At 39.4% G+C, this 21,916-nt stretch overlaps 1 long non-coding RNA gene and 1 other non-coding gene across 3 annotated transcripts in view; one reads left to right on the top strand and one right to left on the bottom strand.

Annotated features, from left to right (window-relative positions):
• LOC105371240 (uncharacterized) overlaps positions 1-21,916 on the bottom strand; it is a 124,894-nt gene that overhangs the window by 69,763 nt on the left and 33,215 nt on the right. The window contains exons 2-3 of one of the 2 annotated variants that reach the window (NR_188477.1): positions 6,535-6,707; positions 1,596-2,174 (exon numbers count right to left, since the gene is read on the bottom strand). The exons of the other annotated variant lie outside the window; for it this stretch is intronic. This is a non-coding gene — a long non-coding RNA (uncharacterized LOC105371240). Of the gene's footprint in view, positions 1-1,595; positions 2,175-6,534; positions 6,708-21,916 lie in introns of those variants that run through there. 2 annotated transcript variants of the gene reach the window in all.
• Positions 20,082-20,187, top strand: LOC124903794 (small nucleolar RNA U13). Its single transcript, XR_007065239.1, has one exon. It is a non-coding gene; the product is annotated as a small nucleolar RNA U13 (small nucleolar RNA).

The following is a 21,916-nucleotide window of genomic DNA, read 5'->3' as shown; positions in this document are numbered from 1 at the left end:
CCTCCTTCTGTGTCTAGGAAACTAATCTTCCTTTGCTTGAGGATCTTGTAACATTTCACCTGGGACCATGCAAGGTATGTCTATTTTTCTCAACACCCGCCCAGTATTAGTTATCTATTGCCACACAACTAATTCCTGTAAAACTTAGAGGCCTAAATCAATTTTTATTATCTCTCACAGTTTCTGTGAGTCTGGAATTCAGGCACAGCTTAGCTGGGAAATTCTGGATCAGGGTTTCTGATGAGGTTGCAGTCAGGGTGTCAGCTGGGGATAAACCAACTGAAGGCTTCACTATGGGCTGGAGGATCTACTTTTAAGATCTCACTCATGACTGGAAAGTTGGTTCCGGCTGTTGGCAGGAGATCTCAGTTCCTCATCACATGGATCTCTTCACAGAGAACTTGAGTGTCCTCATAACATGGTGGCTGGTTTCCCAAGAGTGAGTGATCCAAGACAGTGTACAGTGAAGCCACAGACTTATCCCCTAGCCACAGGTGATTGAACCAGGGTGGACACTGACCCATGAGGCATCCTGGTGGAAAAAGCTCAGCTAAAAAAGAGAAAATGGAATCAATGGAGCCTGTCAGATTATCTCTTAGGAATTTGATCTGGAATACATGCTGGACAGATCCTAAGTCCTAAGGGCTATAACTAAGCTGAAGTTATGCAGAAGCAGGAGCCCTGAGGAGGAGAAAAATACACAGGGGAGCAGGAAACGGAGGCAGGAAGGATGTCAATCAAAGTAGGAAAGGTAAAGGCAAATATTAGGAGATGTTATATTACCTTAAAATAGTATGTCTGCAAACTCCAACTGAGGGCCCAAAATGATCCTGTCAGTAGAAAAGCCTCAGAACCTTCCCATCCCTGAACTGTGCCTCACTTCAACTCTTTGAAGGCTCTCAGGACAAGTCAGAGTCTTAGCTTCCTTTTTTGCTATGTGCATCCTGATAGTAAGACCTCACTGCTGTTTCTTTGCAAGCTTCTATTTCTTACAACTAAGGCAGCCATATGAGCCAGAGCTTTTAATCAAATAATGCGCTTCAGAGTTTACATAGCTCTCTCACAGCCCATTGGCATTAAATTCTTATAAGACCCCAGAGAGGGAGCACAGTAACTGCTCCATTCCACAGATGAGGTAATTGGGGCTCATAAGGATTAAAGTAACTGGCCAAGTTCACCCAAATAGTAAGGTAAATCAGGGCGGAGCTCAAATCCAGTTCTACTTCCTTGCCCAATGTTCTTTCCCATGTCACCATATAACTACTATCATATATATATACACACAAATGAACTAGGGAAGATGCACTCAGCCACCAAGTCACCCTTTGTGTGTGCTGAGCACCATTCTAAGAGTTCAGACACAGCAGGGAGTGAAACAAAGACCCTTGTCTCATGGAGATTCCATTCATAAGTGTAGTCATGTGAAGCAAACCACAAACATAAAATGAATTCTGGAAGCCCACCATGAAATCTGCCCCATTATCCTGCAACCACCTCAGGGCATGTATGTGATTATTATTACTATACACAGGCATACTCTGGGAGATTGCAGACTTGGTTCCAACTGGCGCACTAAAGCAAATGTCGCAATAAAGTGAGTCACAGATTTTTTTATTTCCCAGTGCATAGAGGAGTTATGTTTACCCTATGCTGTAGTCTAATAAGAGTACAATGCCATTATGTCTAAAACATCAATGTATATACTTTAATTTTAAAAATACGTTATGGCTAAAAATTGCGAATGATCATGTGGGCCTTCAGTGAGTCATATATATATATATATTTTTTTTAGACGGAGTTTTGCTCTTGTTGCCCAGGCTGGAGTGCAATGATGTGATCTCGGCTCACTGCAACCTCCACCTCCCAGGTTCAAGCAATTCTCCTGCTTCAGCCTTACAAATAGCTGAGATTATAGGTGCCTACCACCATGCCCGGCTAATTTTTTGTATTTTTAGTAGAGACAGGTTTCACAATGTTGGTCAGGCTGGTCTCGAACTCCTGACCTCAGATGATCTGTCTGCCTCAGCCTCCCAAAGTGCTGGGATTACAGGTGTGAGCCACCGCACCCGGACAAGTCATAATCTTTTTGCTGGTGGAGAGTCTTGTCTCAATGTTGATGGCTGCTGATTGATCAGAGTGATGGTTGCTCAAGGTTGGGGTGGCTGTAGTAGTTCCTAAAAATAAGACAACAGTGAAGTTTGCCTCATTGATTGACTCTTTCTTTCCTGAAATATTTCTCTGTACCATGTGCTGTTGTTTGGTAGTATTTTACCCACAGTAGAACTTCTTTAAATATTGTATTCAGTTGGCCAGGTGCAGTGGCTTACGCCTGTAATCCTAGCATTTTGGGAGGCCGAGGCAGGCAGATCACGAGGTCAAGAGATCAAGACCATCCTAGCCAACATGGTGAAACCCCGTCTCTACTAAAAATACAAAAATTAGCTGGGCGTGGTGGCACCCACCTGTAGTCCCAGCTACTCGGGAGGCTGAGGCAGGAGAATCGCTTGAACCTGGGAGGCAGAGGTTGCAGTGAGCCGAGATCACGCCACTGCACTTCAGCCTGGTGACAGAGCAAGACACTGTCTCAAAAAAAAAAAAAATCATATCCAATCCTGTCAAATCCTGTCATGGCTTTATCAACTAAATGTATGTAATATTCTAAACACTGTTGTCATTTCAACAATTTTCACAGCATTATTACAAGTAGTTTCCATTTCAAGAAACCAGTTTCTTTGTTCATCCATAAGAAGCAACTTCTTACCCATTCAAGTTTTATGAGATTGCAACAGTTCAATTACATCTTCAGGCTTCACTTCTAATTCTAATTATCTTGCTATTTATAGCACATCTGGAGTGACTTCTTTCACTGAAATCTTAAGCCCTTCAAAGTCATCCATGTCGGTTGAAATCAACTTCCTCCAAACTCCTGTTAATGTTGTGAATCACAAGTGTTCTTAATGACATCTAGAATGGTGAATCTTTTCCGGAAGACTTTCAATTCATTTTGCCCAGATCCAACAGAGGAATCATTGTCTATGGCAGCTATAGCCTTTAAAGCCAAAATTACCCCTTGATTTGTCAGTTGCAGAACTGTGTTATCAGGTATGAAAACTACGTTAATCTCCTTGTGCACCTCCATCAGAGCTCTTGGGTGACCAGGTGCATTGGTCAATAAGCAGTAAATTTTTTTATTATTATTTTGTAGAAACAGGGTCTCCCTACGTTGCCCAAGCTGGTCTTGAATTCCTGGACTCAAGTCATCCTTCCACCTTGGCCTCCCAAAGTGCTGGGATTACAGGTATGAGCCACTGCACCCAGCCTTTTTATTTTTTATTTATTGTTATTATTTGTAGTGAGCAATAAAATTTGAAAAGACTTTTTTCTAAGCAGTAGGTCTCAAAAATGGGTTTAAAATATTCAGTAAACCATGCTATAAAGAGATGTGCTGCCATCCAGGCTATGTTGTTCCATTTATAGAGCATAAGCAGAAGTGATTTAAAATGTTTCTTAAGGGCCCTAGGATTTGGGGAATGGTAAATGAGCACTGGCTTCAACTTAAAGTCATCAGCTGCACTTGCCCCTAATAAGAGATTCAGCCTGTCCTTTGAAGCTTTGAAGCCAGGCATTGACTTCTCCTTTCTAGCTATGAAAGATGGCACCTTCTTCCATCTGATCTTTTTCCTTTTTCTGAAGGCCATTTCACCTATATCAAAAATCTGTTGTTTAGTGTAGCCACTTTCATCATTGATCTTAGCTAGATCTTCTAGATAACTTGCAGCAGCTTCTCCACCAGCACTTGCTGCTTCACCCTGCACTTTTATATTATGGAGATCGCATCTTTTATAACCTCCTGAACCAGGCTCTGCTAGCTTCCAACTTTTATTCTGCAGCTTCCTCACCTCTCTCAACCTTTACAGAATTGAGGAGAGTTAGGGCCTTACACTGGATTAGGCTTTGGCTTAAGGGAATGTCGTGGCTAGTTTTATCTTCTATACAGATTACTAAAACTGTCTTCATATCAGCAATAAGGCTGTTTCACTTTCTTATTTTTCATGCATTCACTGGAGCAGCACTTTTAATTTCCTTCAAGAACTTTTCTTCTGCATTCACAACTTGGTTAACGGTTGGCACAAGAGACCTAGCTTTTGGCCCATCTCGGCTTTCAACATGCCTTCCTCACTGAGCTCAATCGTCTCTAGCTTTTAATTGAAAGTGAGAGATGCAAAATTACTCCTTTCACTAGAACACTTAGAGGCTATTGTAGTGTTATTAATTGGCCTAATTTCAATATTGTGTCTCAGGGAATAGAGAGGCCCAAGGAGAAGAGAGACAGGGGAATAGCTGATTGGTGGAGCAGTCGGAACACACTCACTTATCAAAGTTCTTCCTCTCATCTGGGTGCAGTTTATGGAGCCCTAAAACCATTACAATAGTAACATCAAGGATCACTGATCACAGATCACCATAACAGATATAATAATAATGGAAACATTTGAATTATTATGAGAATTATCCAAATGTAACACAAAGACAAAGCAAGTACATGCCGTTGGGAAAATGGCACTGATAGACTTGCTCAACCCAGGGTTGCCGCAAACCTTTAATCTGTAAAAAAAATGCAGTATCTTGAGGCATAATAAAATGAGGCATGCCTGTATAGTTTTATTTACTTATACATAGAATAGTTATAATTGTCAGTATGTCTAACTGTCAGACAGTTCGGACAATTCAAACCAGACTTAATTTATTAGGTATAAAACTTCAAGTTACTTAACCTTGTGCCTCAGTGGCTTCATCTGAAGAATGGGAATAATAATAGTACCTGTCTCACAGTGCTGTTGTGAGGATTCAATGAACGGAAATATGTAAAGTACTTAGAACAGCATCTGATACATGGTAAGTATGTATATTATTAAGTACTAGGATGATATGTTTTTTATGAATATTATTAAAATTATTATTATAGAAGTTTCAAATGCAAACCTCTTCTAGGTAAACTTAGGAAAACCTTGCCTTTCCTCAAAGTGATGCTTTCATCAAGGAGGCAAAAGAAGAAACTGGGACTGTGAGTCCAGGCAGAACTGGCCTTGCCTGTCACTTGCTGTGTGTCTTTAGGTAAGCCGCTTTACCTCTCTGTACCCCAGTCAGCTTATCTACAAAATGGAGAGGAATAACATCTCATCCTCTGGTTTGTTGTGAGAAATGAGCAGTACATTGCAGTTAGTATTGTGACAGGTAATAGTAAGCACTGAATCAGCAAGACCCATTGCTGTCGACATCATCATTATGTCATTGTTGTTACCTGCAAACTCTAGTGGGTGGAATCAAGCAGATTTAATTTTGAAAGTATGCAGATTTCACTAGGATAGTAAAAACTGTGGCCTGTTGTACCATTAGATATTTATTATTTGCCTCCAGTCCTGATATGGTAACTTTGAAGAATGTCTGCCCATAGGAGAAGCTAAGAGGTTTTTTAATTAGTTAATTCTAATATTAAGTAAGTAACATATTGCCTTGAAAGGAAAACATTCAAGCCTCCTTTCTTTCTCTTTATCCTCTTCTTCAGTTGCCCAAGGAGAAGGAATTTCCGTGGTCTGGTCAGTTTTGTGAACACTTATTGGGCTGAAGGGTGAAGGCACCATGTTAGGAGGTCTGTGCACATAAGAGAGTAAAGAGACAGAGTGAGTCCCTGATGGAGAAGACTCAGCAGCCTATCTTACCTCCTGCCTCTTCTCCCACATGGCACCAGCCCTGGCACAGCACTAAGCCAGCCTGGTACCAGATGCTGGAAATTGGTGCTTCCATTCTCACAATTGCACTCTCTGATTACAGCCTTCTAGCTCTGGAAGGGGTGGAATGGCTCAGTCTTTCCTCTTCAGGTCTTGACCACATAGGCAGAGCAGAACTGGCACTCAACTACATTTTCTTTCCTTTTTTTTTTTTTTTTTTTTTTTTTTGAGACAGGGTTTTGCTCTGTCACTCAGGCTGGAGTGCAGTGGCATGATCTCAGCTCACTGCAACCTCCACCTCCCGAGTTCAAGCGATCCTCCCACCTCCGCCTCCCAAATAGCTGGGACTACAGATGTGCACTAGCACGCCCGGGTAATTTTTGTTTTTTTACTTTTTTCTAGAGCTGGGGTTTCACTGTGTTGCCCAGGCTGGTCTCAAACTCCTGAGCTCAGGTTATCCAACCACTTCAGTTTCCCAAAGTGCTGGGATTAAAGACGTAAGCCACCACGCCTGGCCCGTACCCAGCTAATTTTTGTATTTTTAATAGAGACGGGGTTCCACCATGCTGGCCAGGCTGGTCTCAAACACCTGGCCTCAAGTGATCCACCCGCCTAGACTTCCCAAAGTGCTGGGAGTACAGGCACGCACCACCGGGCCTGGCCACACTCAGAAAGAATGGGTAGAATTTTGGTTTTCCCGGGTTCTTGGCCAAACTATACCTTAATACCAATTTCTGCCCAGATTTCTGACAGAATAAATAAATAGATGAATATAAGACACAGTCCCTGCCCTCAAGAGACTTACACTCTAATTAGGGAAGAAGAACTAATTCCAAGGACAGGCACTCTCCAGTGCTCTCTTCTGCTGCAGGCGCTGAGAGGACCACATGTTCAAGGAAGTGCCTCTATAAGATGGTGGAGACTGTGGTCCCTGAGTGTCTGTGTGGAGAAGAGCCCCTTGCTCGCACAAATTGCCTACTTAACATAGGCAAAAAATACACTTTTGTTGAATCAACCCACTGAGATTTCAGAGTTGATAGTGCAGCACAGCTTAGACCACCCTGACTCTGTGGTTCAGGCTTAACTCCAAAGACATGATACTGGTTCAGTATCAATAAAAATCTCCTAAGAGGCTAACTGTCAAGTAGGCTTTGTCTTAACCTCTTAAATTACATTATTCCAGGATCCTAGGGGCTAAGGATCCTGATGAAACTGGTCCTAGTGATGAAAACCTAGCACCATGATGCAAAACAAACCCTCCAAGTCACCAAAATAGAAAAGCAGGTAACAAAATTGTGTTTTGGGAAGACATCTCCTGCTCTGTTACGAAGATAGATTAGGGGAGGTGGGACTAGAGGAGTGAAAAACAAGAGGCTAGGAAGGATGAAGTTATGGGAAAAAAGAGGCCAAAAAAGGATGCCAGAGGAATGGGGAGAATCATGGCAGATGGGGAGAATCATGGCAGATGGGGAGAAGGGGACCTTTGAGATGCCAGGCATCTGTGTGAAATTAGGTTTTACTTTTGCCCATATTCCTAGAGTCCCCAAATCATTTAGCTTCCCTATATTCATCCTTTCCTTGCCATCCCCACAGATGCATCCAAGCTTAATCATTTTAAGCAAAGCACTACCTTTCCCAGCTGATAAAAATACTTACAACTCATCATGGTTGCTACTATCGCATAGTCTTTTATTGAATCTCTTCCCATTTGTTGGAAATTCAGAAAGCATCCAACTTCCTGCTTAGGCAGATCCTGCTAACTGGCATGAACCATAGGAGCACAGGAAAACTCCCTTCTGAGAAGAAAATTTCCAACACAGAAAAATACCTGTCCACTTTCCTAACCATTTCTCTGTGGACCTGGGTGGGTGAAACACATCGATTCTGCAGGGAAGAACTTTGAGAATAGAAGTCATATGTTAGGATGGTGGAGAAAAAAGTTAGAAGGGGTGGCTGCCTGATGGCTTTGTGAAGTCTGGATCAGTTACCTCCAATTAATTTACATGACAAAGAAACAAACTTCTATGTTATCAAAGAATTCTTAGGTTTCCAGTTCTGTGTGATTAAATCTAATTCTCACTGGTACTATGGGCTTGTCTTCTTCCTCCCCTCTTCCTCCCATCTTTATTGGGAAGGAAATAGAATATGTGCAGTAACCTTACAGCTCACACAGCTAATAGGCAGCAAAAAATCTTTAATCCACATATTTCTGACTCTGAGCTTGAGTTCTTTCCATGGCACCAAGACTTGTTCTGAATTCCATTTTGATAAGCATAGCATGGTATGCCTGGTAGGAATGTCAGCATAAAGTACCAAAAGCAGGGAAGGCTTCTGGGGTCAGTGAGTAGCTTCCCTGGAGCTATACTTTATTACAAAAACAGAGGGGGCTGTCTTGAACCAAATTCTTTCAAATATAAGTAAGAAAATCTCAGCTCAAACTAAACTAAGCAAAATGGAAATTAATTGGTTCAAAGTGTTCAGAGAAAGGTGGGGATTTGCTAGCTTTGTGCACAGATGGATCTAGGGATTTCCCAATATTTTTATTTTTCTATTTTATTCTTCTATCTCTACCCATTTGCTCTTCTTCACTCAATGGTTGATTTCATTCTCTCCCACAGCAGTCAGTCTTTCTCCATAAGGCAGAGGGAAATGATCTTTAATTGACCCAGATTCACATTCTCCCAGCTTAACATGCCAAGCCAGAGAACATGCATCTCTGTCTATGTCTGTATATTAGTGCTATTGAAGACTATGATTGACACTATCTACTCCTGGAATGACTGCTATGGCTGTGAAAGGAGGTACCAAGATTGTCTAGCTAGCATAGAATGGATAGCCCAGGAGGCTGAGGCTGCAGTAAGCCAAGATAATGCCACTGCACTCCAGCCTGGATGAAAGAGCAGGACACTATCTCAAAAATAAATAAATAATATTTTTCAATGTAAAACTAAAATTTAAGAAAAAAATTAATCAATGGAAACAGACCTAGAAATGACAAAACTTATGTAATTAACACACAAAGGCATTAAAAGAGCTTTTATAAATGTGTTCAAAATGCTTAACTAGTTAAAAGAAAAGCACAAGCGAAAGGAAAAGTGGAAGTTATTGTTTTAAATAGAAATATCAGAAATGAAAAACACAACAGCTCAAGAGAAACTTTCACTGGATAGGAATAACTAGATATTAGATATTATAAAAGAAAATATGTAATTGAAGAAGTAACTGTAGCAACTAGCCAAAATAAGGCACAAAACAAAATAAAAAACTATAAAAATGAACAGTCTCAATATCCTATGGAACAAAATCAAACAGTTTAATAATTGGAGTCCCAGAGAAAGAGGTATATAAAGAAGCATAAGAAAACTTTGAAAGAAATAATGCCAACTTTTTTTTTTACAAATTTGATGAAAATCAGAAAGACAGATCCAAGAAGTTCAACAAACCTCAAACAAAATAAATATAAAGCAAAGCACATCAAGCAACATCTTAATCAAATTCCTGAAAGCCAGAGGAAAAAAATAACTCATTGTTTACAGAGGAACAAAGATGAAAATGATTTCAGACCTCTCATCAGAAATCCAGAAAGGAGACAACATCTTTAAAATACTAACAGAAAAAAATAACTGTCAACTTAGGATTCTATATACAATAAAAATATATCTCAAAAATGAAGGCAGGCCCAGCGTGGTGGCTCACACCTGTAATCCCAGCACCTTGGAGGCCAAGGCGGACAGATCACTTGAGGTCAGGCATTCGAGACCAGCCTGGCCAACATGGTGAAACCCCCGTCTCTACTAAAAAATACAAAAATTAGCTGAGTGTGGTGGCAGGCATGTGTAATCCTAGCTACTCAGGAGTCTGAGGCAGGAGAATCGCTTGAACTCAGGAGGCAGAGGTTGTACTGAACCAACATCGTGCCACTGCATTCCAGCCTAGGTGACAGAGCAAGATTCCATCTAAAGAAAAAAAAAAGAAGGCAAACAAAAATATTTACAGAAAAGCAAAAGCTAAGATAATTCATCACTAGCATATCTATACTACAAAAAAATATTAAAGGGGTCACTTCCAAGATGGCTGAATAGGAAGAGCTCTGGTCTGCAGCTCCCAGCAAGGTCTATGCAGAAGATAGGTGATTTCTGCATTTCCAACTGAGGTACCTGGTTCATCTCACTGGGACTGGTTGGACAGTGGGAGCTGCCCACGAAAAGTGAACTAAAGCAGGGCAAGGTGATGCCTCACCCAAGACATGCAAGGGGTCGGGGGATTTCCCTTTCCTAGCCAAGGGAAGCCGTGACATAATGTATCTGGGAAAACAGTACACTCCCACCCACATACTGTGCTTTCCCCATGGTCTTAGCAACCAGCAGACCAGGAGATTCCCTCCCATGCCTGGTTCAGCAGGTCCCACATCCACAGAGCCTTATTCACTGCTAGCGCAGCAGTCTGAGATCCACCTGCTAGGCTGCAGCCTGTCGGAGGGAGGGGCATCCGCCATTGCTGACGCTTGAGTAGGTAAACAAAGTGGCCGGGAAAGCTTGAACTGGGTGGAGCCCACTGCAGCTCAGCAAGGCCTACTGCCTCTGTAGACTCCACCTCTGTGGGCAGGGCATAGCTGAACAAAAGGCAGCAGACAACTTCTGCAGACTTAAACGTCCCTGTCTGACAGCTCTGAAGAGAACAGTGGTTCTCCCAGCACAGCGTTCAAGCTCTGAGAATGGACAGACTGCCTCCTCAAGTGGGTCCATGAGCCCCATGTAGCCTGGCTGGGAGACATCTCCCAGTAGGGGCCAAGAGACATCTCACACAGGTGGGTGCCCTTCTAGGACGAAGCTTCCAGAGGAAAGATCAGGCAGCAATATTTGCTGTTCTGCAATATTTGCTGTTCTGCAGCCTCCAGTGGTGATACCCAGGCAAACAGGGTCTGGAGTGGAACTCCAGCAAACTCCAACAGACCTGTAGCTAAGAGGCCTGACTGTTAGAAGGAAAACTAACATCAACAAAAAGGACATCCACACCAAAACCCCATTTGTAGGTAACCAACGTCAAAGACCAAAGGTAGATAAAAACAAAAAGATGGGGAGGAACCAGAGCAGAAAAGATGAAAATTCCAAAAACCAGGGGGCCTTTTCTCCTCCCAAGGGTCACAGCTCCTCACCAGCAATGGAACAAACTGGACAGAGAATGACTTGATGAGTTGACAGAAGTAGGCTTCAGAGGGTTGATAATAACAAACTTCTCCGAGCTAAAGCAGCATGTTCTAGCCCAACACAAGGAAGCTAGAAACCCTGAAAAAAGGTTTGTCGAATGACTAACTAGAATAAACAGTGTAGAGAAGACCTTAAATGACCTGATGGAGCTAAAAACCATAGCACGAGAACTTCGTGATATACGCACAAGCTTCAATAGCCGATTCAATCAAGAGGAAAAAAGGATACCACTGATTGAAGATCAAATTAATGAAATAAAGCAAGAAGGCAAGATTAGAGAGAAAAGAATAAAAAGAAATGAACAAAGCCTCCAAGACTATGTGAAAAGACCAAATCTACGTTTGACTGTGTACCCGAAAGCAACAGGGAGAAATGAACCAAGTTAGAAAACATTCTTCAGGATATTATTCAGGAGAACTTCCCCAACCTAGCAAGGCTGGCCAACATTCAAATTTAGGAAATACAGAGAACACCACAAAGATACTCCTCGAGAAGAGCAACCCCAAGACACCTAATTGTCAGATTCACCAAGGTTGAAATGAAGGAAAAAATGTTAAGGGCAGCCAGAGAGAAAGGTCAGGTTACCCACAAAGGGAAGCCCATCAGACTAACACCTGATCTCTCAGCAGAAACCCTACAAGCCAAAAGAGAGTGAGGGCCAATATTCAACATTCTTAAAGAAAAGAATTTTCAACCCAGAATTTCATATCCAGCCAATCTAAGCTTCATAAGTGAAGGAGAAATGAAATCCTTTACAAACAAGCAAATGCTGAGAGATTTTGTAACCACCAGGCCTGCCTTCCAAGAGCTCCTGAAGGAAGCACTAAACATAGAAAGGAAAAGCCAGTACCAGCCACTGCAAAAACATGCCAAATTGTAAAGGCCATCAGTGCTATGAAGAAATTGCATCAATTAATGGGCAAAATAGCCAGCTAACATCATAATGACAGGATCAAGTTCATACATAACAATATTAACCTTAAATGTAAATGGGATAAATGCCTCAATTAAAACACACAGACCAGGCCGGGCACAGTGGCTCACACCTGTAATCCCAGCACTTTGGGAGGCTGAGGCAGGCAGATCACGAGGTCAGGAGATCGAGACCATCCTGGTTAACATGGTGAAACCTCGTCTCTACTAAAAATACAAAAAATTAGCCAAGTGTCATGGCAGCCACCTGTAGTCCCAGCTACTCGGGAGGCTGAGGCAGGAGAATGGCATGAATCCAGGAGGTGGAGCTTGCAGTGAGCCGAGATCACACCACTGCACTCCAGCCTGGGCGACGGAGCGAGACTCTGTCTCAAAAAAAAAAAAAAAAAAAAAAAAAAAAAGTCACAGACTGGCAAATCGGATAAAGAGCCAAGACCCATCAGTGTGCTGCATTCAGGAGACCCACCTCACATGCAAAGACACATATAGGCTCAAAACAAAGGGATGGAGGAAGATCTACCAAGCAAATGGAAAGGAAAAAAAGCAGGGGATGCAATCCTAGTCTCTGATAAAACAGATTTTAAACCAACAAAGATCAAAAGAGACAAAGAAGGCCATTACATAATGGTAAAGGGATCAATTCAACAAGAAGAGCTAACTATCCTAAATATATATGCACCCAATACAGGAGCACCCAGATTCATAAAGCAAGTCCTTAGAGACCTACAAAGAGACTTAGACTCCTACACAATAATAATGGGAGACTTTAACACCCCACTGTCAATGTTAGATCAATAAGACAGAAGGTTAACAAGGATATCCAGGACTTGAATTCAGCTCTGCACCAAGCGGACCTAATAGACATCTACAGAACTCTCCACCCCAAATCAACAGAATATACATTCTTCTCAGCACCACATCACACTTATTCTAAAATTGACCACATAAATGGAAGTAAAGCACTCCTTAGCAAATGGAAAAGAACAGAAATCACAACAAACTGTCTCTCAGACTACAGTGCAATCAAATTAGAACTCAGGATTAAGAAACTCACTCAAAACTGCACAACTACATGGAAACTGAACAACCTGCTCCTGAATGACTACTGGGTAAATAATGAAATGAAGGCAGAAATAAAGATGTTCTTTGAAACCAATGAAAACAAAGACACAATGTACCAGAATCTGTGGGACACATTTAAAGCAGCGTGTAGAGGGAAATTTATAGTACTAAATGCCCACAAGAGAAAGCACGAAAGATCTAAAATTGACACCCTAACATCACAATTAAAAGAACTAGAGAAGCAAGAGCAAACACATTCAAAAGCTAGCAGAAGGCAAGAAATAACTAAGATCAGAGCAGAACTGAAGGAGATAGAGACACAAAAAACTCTTCAAAAACTCAATGAATCCAGGAGCTGTTTCTTTGAAAAGATAACAAAATTGATAGACTGCTAGCAAGACTAATAAAGAAGAAAAGACAGAAGAATCAAATAGACACAATAAAAAATGATAAAGGGGATATCACCACCGATCCCACAGAAATACAAACTACCATCAGAGAATACTATAAACACCTCTACCCAAATAAACTAGAAAATCTAGAAGTGGATAAATTCCTAGACACATGCACCCTCCCCAGAATAAACCAGGAAGAAGCTGAATCTCTGAATAGACCAATAACAGGTTCTGAAATTGAGGCAATAATTAATAGCCTACCAACCAAAAAAAGTTCAGGACCAGACAGATTCACAGCCAAATTCTACCAGAGGTACGAAGAGGAGCTGGTACCATTCCTTCAGGAACTATTCCAATCAATAGAAAAAGAGGGAATCCTCCCTAACTGATTTTATGAGGCCAGCATCATCCTCATACCAAAGCCTGGCAGAGACACAACAAAAAAAGAGAATTTTAGACCAATATCCCTGATGAACATTGATGCAAAAATCCTCAATAAAATACTGACAAACCAAATCCAGCAGCACATCAAAAAGCTTATCCACCATGATCAAGTGGGCTTCACCCTGGGATGCGAGGCTGGTTCAACACACTCAAATCAGTAAATGTAATCCATCACAAAACAGAACCAAAGACAAAAACCACATGATTATCTCAACAGACGCAGAAAAGGCCTTCGACAAAATTCAACAGCCCTTCATGCTAAAAACTCTCAATAAACTAGGTATTGATGGAACATATCTCAAAATAATAAGAGCTATTTATGACAAACCCACAGCCAGTATCACACAGAATGGGCAAAAACTGGAAGCATTCCCTTTGAAACCAGCACAAGACAAGGATGCCCTCTGTCACCACTCCTATTCAACATAGTGTTGGAAGTTCTGGCCAGGGCAATCAGGCAAGAGAAAGAAATAAAGGGTATTCATTTAGGAAAAGAGGGTGTCAAATTGTAGCTGTTTGCAGATGACATGATTGTATATTTAGAAAACCCTATCATCTCAGCCCAAAATCTCCTTAAGCTGATAAGCAACTTCAGCAAAGCCTCAGGATACAAAATCAATGTGCAAAAGTCACAAGCATTCCTATACACCAATAACAGACAAACAGAGAGCCAAATCATGAGTGAACTCCCATTCACAATTGCTACAAAGAGAATAAAACACCTAGGAATCCAACTTATGTGAAGGACCTCTTCAAGGAGAGCTACAGCCACTGCTCAACAAAATAAAAGAGGACACAAACAAGTGGAAGAACATTCCATGCTCATGGATAGGAAGAATCAATATCATGAAAATGGCCATACTGCCCAAGGTAATTTATAGATTCAATGACATCCCCATCAAGCTACCAATGACTTTCTTCACAGAATTGGAAAAAACTACTTTAAAGTTCATATGGAACCAAAAAGAGCCTGCATAGCCAATACAATCCTAAGCCAAAAGAACAAAGCTGGAGGCATCATGCTACCTGACTTCAAACTATACTACAAGGCTACAGTAACCAAAACAGCATGGTACTGGTACCAAAACAGATATATAGACCAATGGAACAGAACAGAGGCCTCAGAAATAACACCACACATCTACAACCATCTGATCTTTGACAAACCTGACAAAAGCAAGAAATGGGGAAAGGATTCCCTATTTAATAAATGGTGTTGGGAAAACTGGCTAGCCACATGTACAAAGCTGAAACTGGATCCCTTCCTTACACCTTATACAAAAATTAACTCAAGATGGATTAAAAACTTAAATGTAAGACCTAAAACCATAAAAACCCTAGAAGAAAACCTAAGCAATACCATTCAGGACAGGCATGGGCAAAGACTTCATAACTAAAACATCAAAAGCAATGGCAACAAAAGCCAAAATTGACAAATGGGATCTCATTAAACTAAAGAGCTTCTGCACAACAAAAGAAACTACCATCAGAGTGAAGAGACAACCTACAGAATGGGAGAAAAAATTTGCAATCTACCCATCTGACAAAGGGCTAATATCCAGAATCTACAAAGAACTTAAACACATTTACAAGAAAAAAAAAACAACTCCGTCAAAAAGTGGGCAAAGGATATGAACAAACACTTCTCAAAAGAAGACATTTATGCAGCCAACAGACAGCTGAAAAAATGCTCATCATCACTGGTCATCAGAGATATGCAAATCAAAACCACAATGAGATACCATCTCACACCAGTTAGAATGGCAATCATTAAAAAGTCAGGAAACAACAGGTGCTGGAGAGGATGTGGAGAAATAGGAAGGCTTTTACACTGTTGGTGGGAGTGTAAACTAGTTCAACCATTGTGGAAGACAGTGTGGCGATTCCTCAAGGATCTAGGAATAAAAATACCATTTGACCCAGCCATCCCATTACTGGGTATATACCCAAAGGATTATAAATCATGCTGCTATAAAAACACATGCACACATATGTTTATTGCAGCACTATTCACGGTAGCAAAGACTTGGAACCAACCCAAATGTCCAACAATGATAGACTGGATTAAGAAAATGTGGCACATATACACGATGGAATACTATGCAGCCATAAAAAAGATGAGTTCATGTCCTTTGTAGGGACATGGATGAAGCTGGAAACCATCATTCTGAGCAAACTATTGCAAGGACAGAAAACCAACACCACATGTTCTCACTCATAGGTGGGAATTGAACAGTGAGAGCACTTGGACACAGGGTGGAGATCATCACACACCAGGGCCTGTCATGGGGTAGGGGGAAGGGGGAGGGATAGCATTAAGAGTTATACCTAATATAAATGACAAGTTAACAGGTGCAGCACACCAACATGGCACCTGTGTACATTTGAAACAAACCTGCACGTTGTGCACATGTACCCTACAACTTAAAGTATAATAAAAAATTAATAAATAAAAAATAAAATAATAAAATAAATAAATAAAAATAAAATGTGGCACATATACACCATGGAATACTATGCATCCATAAAAAAGGATGAGTTTATGTCTTTTGCAGGGACATGGATGAAGCTGGAAACCACCATTCTCAGCAAACTATCACAAGGACAGAAAACCAAACACCACATGTTCTCATTCATAGGTGGGAATTGAACAATGAGAAAACATGGACACAGGGTGGGGAATATCACACACCGGGGCCTGTCAGGGGGTGGGGAGCTGGGGACGGGATAGCATTCGGAGAAATGCCTAGGGTAAATGACGAGTTGATGGGTGCAGCAAACCAACATGGCACATGTATACCTATGTAACAAACCTGCATGTTGTGCACATGTACCCTAGAAGTTAAAGTATAATTTAAGATATATATATAAATCATTCTATTATAAAGATATATGCACATGTATGTTCCTTGCAGCACTATTCACAATAGCAAAAACATGAAATCATCCCAAACACCCATCAATGATAGACTGGATAAAGAAAATGTGGTACATATACACCATAGAATACTATGCAGCCATAAAAAGGAATGTGATCATGTCCTTTGCAGGGACATGGATGGAACTGGAAGCCATTCTCCTCAGGAAACTAACACAGGAACAGAAAACCACACACCACATGTTCTCAGTTATAAGTGGCAGCTGAACAATGAGAACACATGGGCACAGGGAGGGGAACAACACACACTGGGGCCTGTCGAGAGTCAGGCGAGAGAGAGCATCAGGATAAATAGCTAATGCATGTGGGGCTTAATACCTAGGTGATGGGTTGATAGGTGCAGCAAACTGCCATGGCACATGTTTACCTGTGTAACAAACCTGCACCTCCTGCACATGTATCCTGGAACTTAAAACAAAATTTTTAAAAGTCAAAAAATGTATATATTAAAGGAAGTGCTTCAAGCAGTGGAAAATTATTGAAATAAAAGCTTGCATATTAAAAAAAGAATAAAAAGTGCTAGAAATGGTGTAAATATTTGGGTAAATATAAAAGACTTTCTTTTCACTTGTAAGTTTTATTACAGATAACTGACTGAAGCAAAAATTATAACAATATATTTGGGGATTTGTAACATATAAGACAAAGTATGTGCACAAAGTATGAGAGGGAGAGATTGAAGTATATTATTGTAAGACTCTTATATTGTGCATTAAATGATATAATATTTGAAGGTAGTCTGTGATGTTGATGTATATTTTATTTATTTATTTATTTTGAGACAGAGTCTCACTCTGTTGCCCAGGCTGGAGTATAGCGGTGCGATCTCAGCTCACTGTAGCCTCTGCCTTATGGGTTCAAGCGATTCTCCTGCCTCAACCTCCCAAGTAGCTGGTACCAGAGGCACATGCCACCATGCCGAGCTAATTTTTTTTATTTTTAGTAGAAACAGTGTTTCACCATTTTGGCCAGGCTGGTCTCAAACTCCTGGCCTCAAGTGATCCACCCACCTCAGCCTCTCAAAGTGCTGGGATTACAGATATGAGCCACTGTGCCCTGCTATTGATATACATTGTAAGCCCTAGAGTAACTACAAGAAAGCCGTTTAAAAGGTATTTAGTTATAAGACATTAGCAGATAAAATGGAATAGAAAAACACTCCAAAAGAAGGCTGTTTGGCTATTCTTGCATTACTATAAAGAAACACTTAAGACTGGGTAATTTATAAAGAAAAGAGATTTAATTGGCTCATAGTTCTGTAGGCTGTACAGGAAGCATGGTGCTGGGCATCTGCTCAGTTTCTGGTGAGGCCTCAGGAAGCTTTTACTTATGGTGAAAGGTGAAGCAAGAGCAGGCATATCACATGGCCAGAGCAGGAACAAGAAAGAGTTGGAGTGGAGGGAGGTGTTACACACTTTTAAGCAACCATGTCTTGTAAGAACTCACTCACTATTGTAAGGATAGCACCAAACCATGAGGTGTCCACCCCCATGACTGAAACATCTCTCACCAGGCCCAACCTCCAACACTGGGGATTAAAATTCAACATGAGATTTAGAGGGGACAACATCCAAATCATATCAAAGGCCAAAAAAACGGAGATGGATAAAGAGTAAAGAGCAGATGAAGGAAATAGAAAACAAATGTCAGACAATTAGGTAGATCTAAGAAATAAAAAGAAAAATGAAAAAAAATTTAAATAAAAAAATCAAGATGGCAGACTTAAATCCAACTTTTTCATTTATTATATTAAATGTAAATGATCTAAATATTTTAATTAAAAGGCAGATACCAAACTAGATTTTTTAAAGCATGACCCAACTATATACTGAATTCAAAAAACTCACTTTAAATTTTAAAACACAAATAAGTATAAAAATATAGAAAAAAGATATATGATGCAAACATTGAAGATACTAAAGCTGGAGGCCAGGTGTGGTGGCTCACACCTGAAATCCTAACACTTTGGGAGGCCAAGTGGGGGAGGATTGCTTAAACCTAGGAGGTTGAGGCCAGCCTAAGCAACATGGTGAGACCTCATCGCTATAAAAAAAATAAAAAAAATTAGCCAGGCACACTGATGTGTGCCTGTCATCCCAGCTACTCAGGAGGCTGAGGTGGGAAAATTACTTAAGCCCAGGAGGTCAAAGCACAGTGAACTATGTTTGCACTACTGTACTCCAGCCTAGGTGACAGAGTGAGACCCTGTGTCAAAAAAAAAAAAAGTAATAAAGCTGGAATTGGTATGTTAATATAAAACAAAGCAAACTTTACTAATATAATTTAAAAAACAAATAAAATAATTCATAATTATAGCTGGATATTTCAACACTCTTGTCTCAATAACTGAAAGAATAAGTAGACAGTAAATCAGTGAGGCTACAAAACACTTAACACAGTCAATCAACTGAACATAATTGACATTTATGGACTGCTCCACTGAATAACTGGAATACACATTCCCTTTCAGGGCATATGGAAATTTCAACAAGACAGAATATATGCTAGGTCATAAAAAAAGTTCCAATAAATGTTAAAAACTGAAATTTTGCAGATTATGTTCTCTGACTGCAGTGGAATTAAATTAGAAATCAATAACAATAAAATATCTGGAAATATTTTTAAATATTTAAAATTTTATATATTTAAATATTTAAAAATTTAAAAATATATTTCTAAATAATAAATGAGTAAAGAAATAAATTGCAATATTAACAAGTAAATATCTTAAACTTAATGAAAATGAGAGCTGGGCACAGTGGCATGTATCTATATTCCCAGTTACTTGGGAGGCCAATGTGGAAGAATTGCTTGAGGTCAGGAGTTAGAGGCTGGCAGTACACTATGATTGTGCTTGTGGAGAGCCACTGCACTCCAGCCTGGGCAACACAGCCAAGACCTCATCTCTAAAAAACAAAATAAAACAAAATAAAAAACTTTAAAGCTTAATGAAAATGAAACCCAAACATATGAATATTTGGGAAATACGGCTAAAATAGTACTTAGAAGAAAAGTTGTAGTTTAAAATCAATAATTTAAGAATCTACCTAAGAATCAGGAACTTCATATTTGCCACAGTATTGAAGATACAAATGCATAAAAATAATTATAAATCTATTTTGATGGGCACACAATATATAAAGGGGTAGTTTATAACATAAATGACAATAAAATGTGGGGCCGAGCTGTAAAGATTAGTTTTTGTATGCAATCAAGATTATGTTGGTATCGATTCAAAATATATTGTTTTATATTTAGAATATTTTACGTAATCCTCCTGATAACAATGAAGAAAATAGTTACAGAATATACACCAAAAAGAATCAAAACTTATCATTAAAATGTATATTCTGCTGTCGTTGATGGAGTGTTTATACATTTTGTAGCTCATAAGTATGGTGATTGGGTTTTCACACTCATGTATGAGATGTGCCTCTCTAAAACTTTGTTACAACATTGGCACATTACCCCATCTGATGTGTTATGGGGCGGGGTGTGTGTGTGCATATATATATATATGAGATACTATATCAAAAATGGATAGAACCAACAGATCAATAAGCAAATAAAGGACATGAGCAACACTACAAACCAATTGGACCTAACAGACATATACAGAACACTCCATCAACAATAGCAGAATATACATTTTTCTCAAGTGTACATGGAACATTGTCCAGGGCAAACCACATGTTAGGCAAAAAAAAAAGTCTTAATAAATTTTTAAAAGATTTAACTCATACCAAGTATCATTTCTGATCACAATGGAGTGAAACAAATCAATAGCAAAAGGAAAATTGGAAAATTCATAAATATGTGGAAATTAACACACTCTTAAAGAATAAATGAGCTACAGAGAAAACCAGAAGGGAAATTTTAAAATATCTTGACACAAAAAAAGAGAAAATATCTTGATACAACAGAAAATGAAAACACAATATACCAAAACTTATGAAATGTAGCAAAAGCAGTGCTAAGGGTGAAATTTATAGCTATAAATGCTAATGTTAAAAAGGAAATATCTAAAACCAACAATCTGATTTTAAACCTTAAGGAACTAGAAAAAAAAAAAGAACAAACTAAACCCAAAGCTAGCAGAAGGAAGGAAATAATAAAGATTAGAGTGGAGATAAGTAAAAATAGAGAATAGAAAAACAATAGAGAAAATCAATAAAACCAAAAGTTGATTCTTAAAAAAAATCAATAAAATTGACACACCTTTATCTAGATTGACTAAGAAAAAAATAGAGAAGATTCTAATTGCTAAAATCAAAAGTAAAAATCACTAATAATTTTTATTTGAGTACACATTGAAATATTTTTAATATAGAGGGTTAAATAGAATACATTGTTTAAAAAATTTAAACTGTTAAAACTAATAAACTAAACTAACAAACTAATTCAGCAATGTTGCAGGATACAAAATCAACACACGAAAATTAGTTGCATTTCTACATATTAACAATGAACAATCAGAAAAGGAAATTAAGAAAGTAATCCCATTTACAACAGCATCAAAAATAATAAAATACTTAGAAATAAATTTAACCAAGGAGGCCAAAGACTTGTACACCAAAAACTACAAAATATTACTAAAAGAAACTAAAGAAGATACAAATAAATAGAAATGAAGTCCATATTTATGATTGGAAGATTTAATATTGTTAAAATGTCTAGACTGACCAAAGCTATCCTCAGATTCAATGCAATCCCTATCAAAATCCCAATGACATTTTTTCATAAATATAAAAAAAACTTGACATAAAATCTTAAAGGATCCCCAAATGGCCAAACAATCTTGAAAAAGAAAAGGCCTCATACGTCCTGGCTTCAAAACATATTACAAAGCTACAATAACCAAAAAAGTATCTTACTGGCAGAAAGGTAGACATATAGACCAATGAAATAGAATAGAGATCCCAGAAATAAACCCTCCCATATATGGTTAAATGATTTTCTACAAGCGTTCCAGGACCAGAAGTATTAGTCCATTCTCACACTGCTATGAAGAAATACTTGAGACTGAGTAATTTATCAAGGAAAGAGGTTTAACTGGCTTACAATTCCACAGGACTGGGGAGGCCTCAGGAAACTTACAATCAGGTCGGAAGGGGAAGCAAACATGTCCTTCTTCACATGGCAGCAGAAGCGAGAAGTGCAGAGTGAAGCGGGGGAAGCTCCTTATAAAACCATCAGATCTCCTGAGAA

This window comes from Homo sapiens, chromosome 16 (genome assembly GCF_000001405.40).
Source record: "Homo sapiens chromosome 16, GRCh38.p14 Primary Assembly".
Taxonomy (NCBI): domain Eukaryota; kingdom Metazoa; phylum Chordata; class Mammalia; order Primates; family Hominidae; genus Homo; species Homo sapiens.
This window is presented reverse-complemented; position numbering and strand designations above follow the sequence as displayed.